This window comes from Homo sapiens, chromosome 10 (assembly GCF_000001405.40).
Source record: "Homo sapiens chromosome 10, GRCh38.p14 Primary Assembly".
Classification (NCBI taxonomy): Eukaryota; Metazoa; Chordata; class Mammalia; order Primates; family Hominidae; genus Homo; species Homo sapiens.
The window spans coordinates 30,895,463-30,909,694 of record NC_000010.11 but is presented as its reverse complement, the minus strand read 5'-3'; the positions used below and the strand labels follow the sequence as shown (position 1 = coordinate 30,909,694).

Sequence of the window (14,232 nt, the reverse complement as noted above, 5' to 3'; positions counted from 1 at the left end):
TCTGTCATGACTACTGTCCCTCACAAGTTTGAAAATGATTCACCATGCAGTATTAAAAAGTAAAATGCTTTTATTACTTTCATCAAGAGGCCATATGATACAAAGGTTCAGGATAAAGATGAAAAAGTGAGTAGGAAAAGAAAATTAAAGTTAAAAAGTTATTTCCTGAGATTTATTATTTCTGGCACTATTTTTGGATTTTGGGTTCTATATTTTAGAAGGTAAAATCTCAGTCGAGAATCAGGAGTTCTGTGTTTTATTCAGTTAGAAAGTTTTGATGTATTTGGAAAGTCATGTAATTTTCCTATTGTCCAAGTAAAAATGGCCATGATTCCATAGTAGAAGCTTATGGAGAATATGTGTGAAGGTGCTGAATGATGATTACATAATAATCAGAAACAAAAGTTAAGCATTTCTTTGGTTTTGTAACTTCATATAATTCAAGAGATAGTATTTAAGTCATATTCATGTATATATTTAAAAAAATCTTAGTACTTTACTAAAGTGGTAAACTTTCATATTACACAGTTTGATAAGGCAAATATCTTTATGACTTTTGTGTAAGATCCTAAATACTGTTATTTTTTCAAAAAATATAGATGTGGCCTTAATGATATGCTAATAATACTGTTTTGTAGTTTTCTCTTAAAAGTTTGTAAATCCAGTTTTCTTTTTTTAGGTATGTTGAAGAAAGTACGCACATCTTATCTTCTGAACATTTTGATGGAATTAACCACAAACTTCATGCAAGAACAGTAAAAGGTATTTTGTTAAATAATTTTTGCATATTGATGTAGTGCTCTTAATTTCTAGATTTGCTTCACAAAGGCCTACCTTAAATCAACTGCAAATGGATACTACTTCACAGAGTAGATTTTGTAAGAGAAGTTTCTTAATCATAAAATATATTTCTTCTTTACCAAGTCATATGATATTTCTTTCAGAAAGCGCTTGTACAGACTAAATTTCAGTATTAGTAGTTTGAAATAACATCATTTATTTTCACTGTGCACTTGTATATATTTTTATATGCAGCGTACATTGTAGTCATGTATTTAAAACATGCCCATGAGATAGATATGAAATTAATCAGGAAAGATAGGACAGCTGCATTCATTTCCTACCTTGCTCTCCTTGGAGTTCTTCAGAATAGATGTGTTTAAGAGCAAATCCAAAGCAAGCACCTTACTGTGCATACCTCCTACCATTAGGATGATATTAAATGGCATGGTGAGCCCTTAAAAAGGTAAGCACCCTCTTGAAAACACCAGAATAGCTTGAGCTCCATTCCCAGATCCAACATTATAAGCCACATACACCTAACAGACATCTGTAGAATACTCCACTTAAAGAACAGAACACACATTCAAGTGCATATGGAACACTCTTCAGGATAGATTATTAGGACATAAAATTAGCCTCAATACATGTAAAAAGGATTGAAATGATACTAAAGTATGTTCTCTGACCACTATAGAATACAATTAGGAATAAGTAACAAAAGGAAATTTGGGAAATGCACAAATATGTAGAAATTAAATGATATACTCCTAATTTGGGAAATGCACAGATATGTGGAAATTAAATAATATACTTCTAAATAATCAGAGTCAAAGAGGAAATCACAAGGGAAATTAGAAAATATCTTGAGATAAATTAACCTAAAGCACTACATACCAAAATTTATGGGCTGCAACTTTAAAAAGCAGTGTTTAGAGAGAAATTTATAGCTATAAATCCTTATTGTTTTCAAAAAAAGAAAGATCTCAAATTGATAACCCAACTTTTCACCTTAAGAACCTAGAAAAAGAAGAGCAAACTAAACCTAAACAAGCAGAAGGAAGAAAATAATAAAGATGAAAGTGCAAATGAATGAAATAAAGAATAAAAACAATAGAGAAAATCAATAAAAGCAAAAGTTGGTTCTTTGAAAGATCAGCAAAATTAATGAACCTTTGGCTAGACTAACCAGGATAAAAGAATAATCAACAAAGAAAGAGGGGATATCACTACTGACTCTACAGAAATTTAAAAAAGGTAATTATATGTCAAAATATTTGGTGACTTAGATGAAATGGATAAATTCCTAAAAAACAAAAACTACCAAAACGGAGTCAAGAAGACAGAGAAAATATGAACCTATAACAAGTTAAGTGATTGAATTATAATTTTAAAAATTTCCCCCTTCACACACACAAAACCCAGGCCCATATGTCCTCACTGTGAATTCTACCAAAAATTTAGAAAAGAATTAATACCAATCCTTTACAAACTTCTCCAAAAAATACAAGAGGAGAGAATACTTCCTGACTGATTCTGTGAGGCCAGTGTATTACCATGATAAAAATGGACAAGACAACAACAACACAAGAAAACTATAGACCAGTATCTTTGGTCTATAGTTCTGATGTAAAAATTCTTGCCAGGTGTGGTGGCTCACAGTTGTAATCCCAGCACTTTGGGAGGCTAAGGCAGGTGGGTCACCTGAGTTGAGGAGTTTGAGGCCAGCCTAGCCACCATGGTGAAACCGCGTCTCTACTAAAAATACAAAAATTAGCTGGGCGTGGTGGCGAATGCCTGTGATCCCAGCTACTCTGGAGGCTGAGGCAGGTGAATAGCTTGAACCCAGGAGACGGAGGTTGCAGTGAGCCAAAATTACACCATTGCACTCCAGCCTGGGCGACAAGAGCAAGACTATGTCTTAAACTAACAAAGAAAAATTCTCAACAAAATACTGGAAAATTAAATCTAGTGACATATGAAAAGCATAGAAACCAAGACCAAATGGGATATATGTAAGGAATGCAAGATTGGTTTGACATATGAAAAATCAGTGTTGACACCACATTAATAGAATAGAGAACAGAAGTCACATGATAATAGACACAGAAAAAGCACTTGACAAAATCTAAGTCCCTTTTATCATACAAACACTGAACAAACTAGGAATAGAAGTGAACTTCCTCACCCTGATAAAGAGAATCTACAAAAACTACACAGCTAACATCATACTTAATGGTGAAAAACTGAAAGTGTGCCCTCTAAGATCAGGAACAAGACAAGGATGAGTTATCTTACTGTTTCTATTTAACTTTGTACTGGAGGTTCTAAGCAGGACAGTTAGGTAAGAAAAAGAAAAGCATCCAGATTGGAAAGCCAGAAGAAAAACGTTCTCTATTTGTAGATGACATCTTGTATGTAAAAAAATCTTAAGGAATCCACTAAAAAATTCTTAGAACTAATTAATGAATTCAGCAAGGTTGAAAGATACAAGATCAATATAAAGATCAATTGTATTTATATACACTACCAAGGAACAATCTGGAAATTGAGAAATAAAACTGAGAAATTAAGAAAACAATGACGTTGGCAGTAGCATTAAACAGAATACGCAGGAATAAATATTTACAAATAAGCAAAAGAAGTGCAAGACTTGCACACCAAAAACTACAAAATATTGTTGTGAAAAATTAAATACCTAAATAAGTGGAAAGACATCTGTGTCTTTGAATTAGAAAACTCACATTGTTAAGATAGTAATACACCCCAAATTGTTCTAGTTTCAATGCAGTCTCTATGAAAATTTCAGCTGCCCCTTTTGTAGAAATTGACAAGCTGACCCTAAAATTAATATGGAAATACAAGGAATCCATAATAGCCAAAATAGTATTGAAAAAGAAAAGCAAAGTTTGAAAACTCCCCATTCTCAATTTCAAGACTTACTACAAAGCTATAATAAATAACAGTGTGGTAGTGGCGTAAGGATAGACATACAGATCAATGGAATAGAATTAAGGGTCTAAAAATAAACTGTTACATCTATGGTACACTGATAATCAACAAGGGTACCAAGAATTATCCAATAGTCTTTTCAGCCAGTAGTCTTGGGACAAGTGGATATCCTCACACAATATATAAAAATTAATTCAAAATGGATCAAAGACCTAAATGTAAGAGATAAAAACAATATGAAACTCTTAGAGGAAAACATAGACTGAAATCTTTATAACCTTGTGATAGGCAGTGGTTTCTTAGATTGATACCAAAAGTATAAACAACAAAAGAAAACTATGTAAGATGGACTACACTAAAATTAAAAACTTTTGTACTTCAAAGGATACCATCAAGAAAGTGAAAAGACAGCCCACAAAATGGGAGAAAATATTTGCAAATCTTATATCTGATAAAGAACCTGCATCCAACATATATAAAGAACTGTTACAACTCAACAATAAAAATAACCCAATTAAAACTGGTCAAAGAAATTGAATAGACATTTTTCCGAAGAAGATCTGCAAATTGCCAATGAGCACATGAAAAGATGTGCAACGTCGTTAGTCATTAGGGAATAGCCACAATGAAACACTGCTTCATGCCTCGTGGGATGGCTATAATTTAAATATGGACAAAAACAAGTATTAGTGAGGATTTGTTGACATTGGAAACCCTATACATTACTGGTGGGGATGTAAATGGAAAATTTGTTCGGAAAACAATCTGGAAAATCCTCAAAAGGTTAAACATAGAGTTACTCTAAGACACAGCCAGTATTTATATTGTAAACCTCTTCCCTTCCTATGTGTAACACTGTAAAGGGGTAAATGTTACAGTATGTGAAGTATATCACAAATAGCTCCTCCTAGATGGTCTGTTACTGTGCCAAATTCTTAGGGTACCATATGAACACAAAGGGGTGTGAACCCTACCCTCTAGAGCTTCTTGTCTGTTAGGAGTATGAGGCATTACAATTGTGGTAAGTACCATCAGGGAAAGATACAGGGGCCACTAAGATTATTAACAGGGATATCTGAACCTAGGTCAGGGACAGTTCTCTTAAGGAGGTGATTTTCCTTTGCGATCCAAAGGATGAATCCGAGTTATCTAGGCAAAAAGGGCATAAGATAAGAGGGATTACAGGAAATGGGGGGCCAACAGGTGTAAAGACTCTGTTGAGAGAGTCATGGGGTGTTCAGGAAATGGAAGGAAGGTCAGTGTGAATGAGACAAAGAAAGTGAGGGGGTGAGGAGTGCAGGGTGCGTCCGAGAAGAAGGTCCAGACCAGAGTGTGGACAACCTCATCAATGTGTTATGGCTTTGAAAGGTTTTCAGTCTGGGGTGACACATTCTAATTTGTCTTTTGAAAACATCACTCTGGCTGTGTCAGTTAGAAAAGGGGCAGAAGTGGAAGTGGGAGGGAACAGTGAAGAGTACTCATGGTCTAGGCAGGGACTGATAGAGCAACTTGCACCAGACAGTTGGCAGTGGAGACGAGGAAAAGGGGACATATCTGAAGGCTTTTTGCAAGATAAAATTGATACTATTTGGTGGAAGCCAAGATAGGGGAGGTAAGGGAGAGAGGTGTAAGGCATGGCTCCCAGACACTGGACTTTGGAAAGTGAATGAGTTGGAGGGCTGTTTCTAAGCCAGAGATTTTCCTTCATGATAAACTTTGTTATGAACAACTTCAAGTAACATGAATGGATTTTGTTCTGTTGATAAGTATCTCTTTCTTACCAAGGCAGTCACATATAATACAGAATTATGTGATTTGCTGATAGCAAATATTTGGGGAGAGTACAAATTTTGGAAAATTAGACAATGTTTTTTATTTGCCAGATGAATTTTGCTCTGAGAGTCTCTGTTGTTCTAGTCTGTCTCCTGTGTCTTTTTTTTTTTTTTAACTGTGGCATGAATTGTTTTCAATTTGTTGTGCTGTTACTAAAGTTCTGAGGGCTGCAGTTAAAACATTCCAATTTCTCCTTTCCATCTTTATTGATTCTCAAGATTTTGCAACAGAAAACTCTTTGGGGGCTAGAACAGCAGTAATTGCATCACACTGTTTTCAAGAATTCAAGTTTCAAAAGCAAATCATTAAAAAACAAAAATACAGTTCCTGATTTGAGTTAGATACAGGGACAAAAAAGTAGCACATACTTGAAGGTTACATGGTCTACAAATGTTGGCTATATTTTCCTTGGGAGAGTAGTTCTGTTGGTATATATTTTTTAAATACTCAAAAGGCTCAACCTCAAGCAGTAATAAACACAAGCAAAAGTCCCGTGTCTTCTTATAATGTGTTTGGCCTTGCTGATCCTCCCCCAGTGCTGTAGAGATCATCTGTCATGTGAGCGTCCTCATTTTTAGGTAAGTAATGAAAGTAGACTCTGAAATAATTTTCTGGCAAGTAACTCCCTTCCAATGAGAAATATCTGGACTGAATGTAGTTTTAGAAATTTCTTATTTCCTTGGCCAGCCAAAGTCTTAAAATGCCAAGTTCTTTGGGGATGCTTTTATTCTCCAGTTATGTAGAAGTGATGGTGTTTTCTTATAACTTCTAAAAGCTGAGAGGTGACAGTGTGCTGGCAGCCCTCACTCGCTCTCGGTGCCTCCTCGGCCTTGGCATCCATTCTGGCCGTGCTTGAGGAGTCCTTCAGCCCGCCGCTGCACCGTGGGAGCCCTTCTCTGGGCTGGCTGAGTCCGGAGCCGGCTCCCTTGGCTTGCGGGGAGGTGTGGAGGGAGAGGCACGGGCAGAACCGGGGCTGCATGCAGCGCTTGTGGGCCAGCTAGAGTTCCGGGTGGGCGTGGGCTTGGCGGGCCCCGCACTGGGAGCGGCTGGCTGGCCGGCCCTGCCAGCCCAGGCAGTGAGGGGATTAGGACCTGGGCCAGCAGCTGCGGAGGGTGCATCCGGTCCCCCAGCAGTGCGGCGCTGCGCTCGATTTCTCCCCGGTCCTTAGCTGCCTCCCCGCAGGGAAGGCCTACCTGCAGCCCGACATGCCTGAGTCTCCCCGCTCTGCCATGGGCTCCTGCACCACCTGAGCCTCCCCAAGGAGCACCACCCGCTGCTGCACGGCGCCTGGTCCCATCTACCACCCAAGGGCTGAGGAGTGCGGGCACACTGCGGGACTGGCAGGCAGCTCCACCTGCGGCCCGGTGGGAGATCCACTGGGTGAGGCCAGCTGGGCTCCTGAGTCTAGTGAGGACTTGGAAAACTTTTGTGTCTAGCTAAGGGATTGTGAGTGCACCAGTCAGCACTCTGTGTCTAGCTCAAGGTTTGTAAATGCACCAATCAGCGCTCTGTGTCTAGCTAATCTGGTGGGTACTTGGAGAATCTTTATGTCTAGCTAAGGGATTGTGAATGCACCAATCGGCACTCTATGTCTAGCTCAAAGTTTGTAAATGCACCAGTCAGTGCTCTGTGTCTAGCTAATCTGGTGGGGACTTGGAGAATCTTTATGTCTAGTTAAGGGATTGTGAATGCACCAATTGGCACTCTGTATCTAGCTCAAGGTTTGTAAATGCATGAATCAGCACTCTGTCTAGCTCAAGTTTTGTAAATACACCAATCGACACTCTGTATCTAGGTAATCTAGTGGGGACGTGGAGAATTTTTGTGTCTAGCTCAGGGATTGTAAACACACCAATCAGCACCCTGTCAAAATGGACCAATCAGCTCTCTGTGAAACAGACCAATCAGCTCTCTGTAAAATGGACCAATCAGCAGGATTTAGGTGGGGCCAGATAAGAGAATAAAAGCAGGCTGCCAGTCCCAGCCATGGCAACCCTCTCAGGTAGTCTTCCACACTGTGGAAGCTTTGTTCTTTCGCTCTATGCAATAAATCTTGCTGCTGCCCACTCTTTGGGTCCACACTGCCTTTATGAGCTGTAACACTCACTGCGAAGGTCTGCAGCTTCACTCCTAAAGCCAGCCAGATCACGAACCCACCAGGAGAAACTAACAACTCCAGACGCGCCACCTTAAGAGCTGTAACACTCACAGCGAAAGTCTGTAGCTTCACTCCTGAGCCAGCAAGATCATGAACCCACCAGAAAGAAGAAACTCTGAACACATCTGAACATCAGAAGGAACAAACTCCAGACACACCGCCTTTAAGAACTGTAACACTCACCGTGAGGGTCCGCGGCTTCATTCTTGAAGTCAGTGAGACCAAGAACCCACCAATTGCGGACACATTTTGGCGACCACGAAGGGACCATCGCCTATCGCCAAGCGGTGAGACTATCGCCGAGCGGTGAGACCATCGCCTATTGCCAAGCGACGAGACAATTGCCTATCGCCAAGCAGTGAGTACCATCAGACCCCTTTTGGTTGCTATTCTGTCCTATTTTTCCTTAGAATTCGGGGGCCAAATACCGGGCACCTGTCGGCCAGTTAAAAGTGACTAGCATGGCCCCCGGACTAAAGACAGAGGTGTCAGGCTTTCTGGGAAAGGGCTAGCTAACAACCCCCGACTCAGCGGAACATCAGAAGGAACAAACTCCGGACGTGCCGCCTTTAAGAACTGTAACACTCAGCGCGAGGGTCCGCGGCTTCATTCTTGAAGTCAGTGAGACCAAGAACCCACCAATTCCGGACACAAAGCCACATTGGCAACTTAATGCTACACTGAAATAAATTTTAATTTATACCCTAAAATCGTTTTCATATGATCCCTGAAGAGTTCCACTTGCATTTAGGATGCCAGCACACAGAACCAACTGACCGCTAAAGATCTCATGGGAAAGAGTGTGCAAATGGGTTGTGATTTCAGTTATAACTGTTATAAGAAAGGCGACTTCCTGATTATTAGTGTTTATTGCTAATGTATCAGTAATGGGCAAATACTATAAATCTGCAAATACCAAACAGCAAAGCTAGAGGCAAATTTGTATTAGGAGAATCAGGACAGTCATTTAGAGAAAATCATAGTGAACTGCCTTTTGCATTTTTCTCCTGGGGTATTTTTACTAACATTTGTTCTCCTGAACCAGCACACACAGGAAGGAATCAGGGATTACTGTTCCTAATTTTTCACTGAGAATACTGATGCTTGCATCTATTTGAATCAAGTTTCCATTTTTCTTACTGCAGTATAGGCCATTTAAAAATTAGCTTTTTATTATTGATGAGCATTAACTATCATTATTTTTCATGTGTACTTACCTTCTGTTGTGCATTTTAATTTCTGAGGATACTGAGGGCAGAACCCAGTACGTGTCTTCAAACCTCAGCTCCACATTTTACTAGCTGGGTGAGCGTAAATAAGTTACTTAATCTCTCTCTGCCTGAATTTCCTTGTATGTAAAATGGGGATCATAAAATATCCATCCCAAGGCTGTGATGAGAATTAAAGAAATTAGCGTATACTTAATGCTTAGAACACTGTTTGGAGCCATAGTAATCTCAAAATAAATGTTAGTTGCTGCTGCTGTTGTACCAATAAAATAGCTCTCTAACTCCCACCTGCTAATTAAGAGGTTAATTCAGTTATGGTTATTGGTGGTGGTGGTTTTCTTTGTTATTTGGGCTATTTTGGTGGAGTGAGGTCAAGTTTACATAGCTAGTAAGTGGTATAAACCAGGTTTACTAAGTCACTGGTTTAGAGTAGGGATTAGCAAACCAAATTGGGCCTGGTTTTGTGTGGCCTGCAAGCTAAGAATGATTTTTATATTTCTAAATTGTTGAAAAAAAACAAAGGATGATATTTTGTGATCAATGAAAATGATATAAAATTTAGTTTCAGTATCCATACATAGTTTTTATTGGAACTTTGTAAATAATCTTATATATTGCTTGTAGCTGTTTTCTTACTACACTAGTAGAATAGAGTAGTTATGACACAGATGGTAGGGTCCACAAAACTGAAAATATTTACCATGTAACCCTTTACAGAAAAAGTTTTCCAGCACCTGCTTTGTGGAGTTATCAGTTATGTCGATTAGAGTGAATGCCTACTTTTTATACTGCCCTACTTTGACAAAAGATTGTTGCATAAGAAAGTATATAATTTTAATTAGCTATCCTTGTGGCCAGAAAACTTTGGTTTGTTTTGTTTTGTTTTCAAAAGGATAATTTTCTACGTTGGTTAAAATTTTCTTGAAACTCACATACAAGTTCAGGAGTAGAGTTAATTAAACTCTAGTAGATTGTGTAAGTATATACATGCCAAAAACTATACATATTCACTAGAGTATTAAGATTTGGATTAGTCTAAGAGTTGTCAAAACAAAAGTCTGACTCTGTGTGCCCTGTGTGTGGGGGGGTGGGGAGGAGGTTCAGTACGTTTGCTATTCTGTATTTCTTTTTTAAAAGATTATTGAAATATAATGAATTCTGAAACAGCCTGTTAATAAGGTGAATTTTTCAATGATAATGTACCTTAAGAGTATAGTATTATAATCCCATTTTGGAAGTTACTTGTGGTTATTTCTTTAAAGCCTTTGTTTTTGTGACTGAAAGCCTGATACTTATAAGGTGGCCAAACTCTGGAGGCTTTTAGCAGTTGTACTTGGAGAGCATGTGCTTTAATTTTGTCACACGAATCATTTAGGCAAATAACCTTTTCTTCTGTCTATGTGCTGTTTCTAAGTATGATGTGGATCTTTCTTATTTGGTTAGTTATATAATCTTTATTTAGCATCTTCTTTCCCCTTGAATATCTACAAAATCTTGTAACTCCTTTTTTTTAAAGTTTATACCATTCAAAGTTAACTCATCAAATATTTTTGAAAGACTTTGTCCAAGGTCCTGAAGCTAAGAATGTGACAGACTTGCACCCTGCCCCTGTAGAGTTTTGAGTCTGGTGAGGAAGATAGATGTGAAGTTAATGTAAGTTTGGTCAGTGTTGGGAAAGGAGAATTAAATTGTGCAAAGAAAAGATAGAATAACGGGACCTTAACTAATCTGAAGAAGGTGGAGAATATTCTTTGGATTTTTAAAAAAATTTGTGATGATTTTGAAGATCCATCCTTAACTAAAGATCTGTTACTAAGTTGAAATTATTTTGAGTTTAGAAAAAGTATTGAGTGAGAATTATAGGAAATTACGTATGGTGTCCCTCTTATTGATACAGGTGCAATCTACTAAATTGCTATACTGGATGATGGATGATTGATGGATGGACTTTACACATTTGATTTTGCCAGGAAATTATATATTGAGTGTAATGGTCACCATGAAATTGGAATGCGGAAAATACCAAAAGTGAAAAAAAGACTACTTGAAAATCAAAATATCTGTTCTTAAACAGAAATATATTTTTAAAGTGGAATCTAACTAAGCGTTCCCCCCCTTTTAGAACGGTTATTATTTTTAGTATAAAAATAGATGGTTATGTAGTTATGTATGTATTATATAAATATATACAATATAGTTATATATGTGTGTGTATATGCACACACATACATGTATTATACCCAATTAAAGGTGGAAGTGCCACCAAGTCAAGCCCCAAAAGTAACCACTGTTGATAATTTGATGTTTCTCTGTGAGAATACAACTTTTTTTCCTTTAAGGGCAAAGGAGATCAGAATATACCTACTGTTCCACAGCTTGCTTCACTTAAGATGATGTTATGGACATCTTTCCCTGGCAGTGTTGATTGAGAACCACCTCTCTCCCTAGATCTACTTTATTCTTGTTGTTCTCATTGTTGATACTGCTGTTTTAAGTTGTATTCTGTAAGGTAGAACATTCAAAAGGTTACAAAAAAGTATACATAGAAAGTCATTTTTCTTTCCAATTCTTCCTTTTCCAGAGGCTACCACCCTTAGCAATTTCTTACCTCTTGAAATCATCCAGTTACTATTATATGCCTTTACTTAGACTAAAGTTAACCCCCCAAACTAATCATTCATGAGGAAACCAAATGCTTAGTGAATTTACAGCAGCAACCAATTGATTTTGTAATATTATATTTAATATAGTATTTAATTGTATTTAAGATTGTATACCAAAATGGTAACAGATTTCCCATTTGTTGTATTTCAGTTTCAAGTTTAATGCTGTGTGATTGTTGTTAGAGGATGCAGTCTGGAGGTGAACAATCTCTGTCAGCGGTTTAGATCTTTCAAGTAACTGTTTCAGGAGCAACCCCACAAGGCCCTGTGTGCCCCAGAGCACTGCCCCCACATGTCCTCACCACTGTCTGCTTGTCTCACTGTCAGTGTTGTGAGTACAGACCCAGGTCTTGAAGATCCCAGGAGGAAATGACCTTGCTGCTTTAATCTGAAAGTTAATTTAGGGGTTTACAGCTCATCTCTGTGATGTCATATTTTCATCTGATGATTGTAATCTGGAACCACTGGGTTAACCTGCTGTTTTCAGGCCAGCTTTGTTAATGCCAGAGCCTGGGGAGTGGAGGTGGCTGGGTGGTGATAGATTTAAGGGAGGTCAGGAATCTCCTCTGCTGGGACCAATCTGGAGCTGAGAAGATGTTATTTGTTGAAGCACTTGCTCTATAGCACTGGATCTTTTGTCAGCTGCTAATACTAAGATGGCCTTCTGAACAAGATTACCTGAAACTCCCTGCCTTTCTAATAAACTCACCAGAGAACATGGGGTGATAGTATTGGGGGGAATATAGAAAGAAGTTAACCAGATCCAATCTTCAGAGTGGCTGTGTTGATATCCTATGGCCTGAAGAGCCCTAGGCTAGTACTTCCCTTTTTATAGGCAGTATTTACTTTTGTATAAAATATGTTCCTCAAAAAACTACCCAGATATACAGTGTGTAAAAGTAAAACAAACAAAAAGACATATGCTAAGAAGATATTCCTTTACCAGAGTACTAGTAAAACATTATACAATTCAAAAAGAATATGTCATTCTTTCTGACATAGATGTATGTCTAGTATGAATATTGTATACTTTGTAAATATTCTTTAGTTTTATCATTTTTCTTTACAGTTGAGCACATGCCTGGCTTAAGTCAAGTATGCTTCCAGTAAAAGTTAAAAGACTTGCCACATAAAACACCCTGAGTGATTGCCATTTTTGCCTAAACTTAATATTGTTTACAAGGCCTATGCTTCATGTCAGTACTATGATCACATTTACTTTTTTTATTGTGGTAAAAAACACATAACTTAAAATTTACCTTCTTAACCCTTTTTAAGTGTACATTTCAGTAGTGTTAATTACATTCACATTGTCGTGCAGCCAAACTCTAGAATTTTTCATCTTGTAAAACTGGAACCGTATACCCATCAAACAACTCCCAATTTCTCCCTGGTTTCTTCTCTTCCGGCCTCCCCTCCTCCCCACAACCCCATATCCCCCAGAAACCACTATTCTGCTGTCTATCTTTGAATTTAATTACTCTAGATACCTGATATATATGGAATCATACAATGTTTGCCCTTTTCTGACGGGCTTATTTCATTTAACATAGTCTCCTCAAGGTTCATTCATATTATAGCATGTGTCAGAATTTCCTTTCTTTTTAAAGTTGAATAATCCATTGTATGTATATATCACATTTTGTTGATCCATCTATCTGTCAATGGGCAGTTGAGTTGTTTCACTTCTTGGCTACTATGAAAAATGCTGCTATGAACATGGATGTGCATATATCTCTTTGAGATCTTGCTTTCAGTTTTTTGTTTTTTTTTTTTTTTTTTTTGAGATGGAGTCTCACTCAGTTGCCCAGGCTGGAGTGCCGTGGCGCGGTCTCGGCTCACTGCAAGCTCTGCCTCCCAGGTTCATGCCGTTCTCCTGCCTCAGCCTCCCAAGTATCTGGGACTACAGGTGCCCGTCACTATGCCCAGCTAATTTTTTTGTATTTTTAGTAGAGATGGGGTTTCACCGTGTTAGCCAGGATGGTCTTGATCTGACATGATCTGCCCCTCTCGGCCTCCCAAAGTACTGGGATTACAGGCGTGAGGCACCGTGCCTGGCCTCAGTTCTTTTTGACATTCACACAGATGTGGAATTGCTAGACCATATGGTAATTCTATTTTTAATTTTTTGAGGTACTGCTATACAGTATTCCATAGTTGCTGCACCATTTTACATTTCCAATGGTAAATAAGAGTTTCAATTCCTCCATATCCTCACCAACATTTGTTATTTTCTCAGTTTTGTTTTTTAAATAGTAGCCATCCTAATGAGTGTGAGGTGTTATTTCATTGTGGTTTTGATTTGCATTTTTCTAATTAGTGATCATCTTTTAATATGCTTGTTGGCCATTTGTACATCATCTTTAGAGAAATGTCTATACAAATGCTTCGCTCTGTTTAAGTTGGGTTATTTGGGTTTTGTTGAGTCATAGGAGTTCTTTATATATTCTGGATATTAATCCCTTATCAGATAATTATTTGCAAATATTTTCTTTCATTCTATAAGTTGCCTTTTCACTCTGTTGATTGTATCTGTTGATACATGGAAGTTTTAAATTTTGGTATAGTCCAGTTTATCTATTTTTACCTTTGCTGCCTATGTTTTTGGTGTCATCTC

At 38.0% G+C, this 14,232-nt stretch overlaps 1 protein-coding gene across 55 annotated transcripts in view; it reads left to right on the top strand.

The window, feature by feature from the left end:
• ZNF438 (zinc finger protein 438) overlaps nt 1-14,232 on the top strand; it is a 187,780-nt gene that overhangs the window by 122,717 nt on the left and 50,831 nt on the right. For 52 of the 55 annotated variants that reach the window (NR_170659.1, NR_170660.1, NR_026560.2 and 49 more), the window contains one exon: nt 680-762. The exons of 2 other annotated variants lie outside the window; for them this stretch is intronic. The gene's annotated coding sequence lies outside the window, so the exon portion shown is untranslated. Of the gene's footprint in view, nt 1-679; nt 763-7,553; nt 8,082-14,232 lie in introns of those variants that run through there. One more of the 55 variants, XM_011519374.3, reaches the window with a different exon arrangement.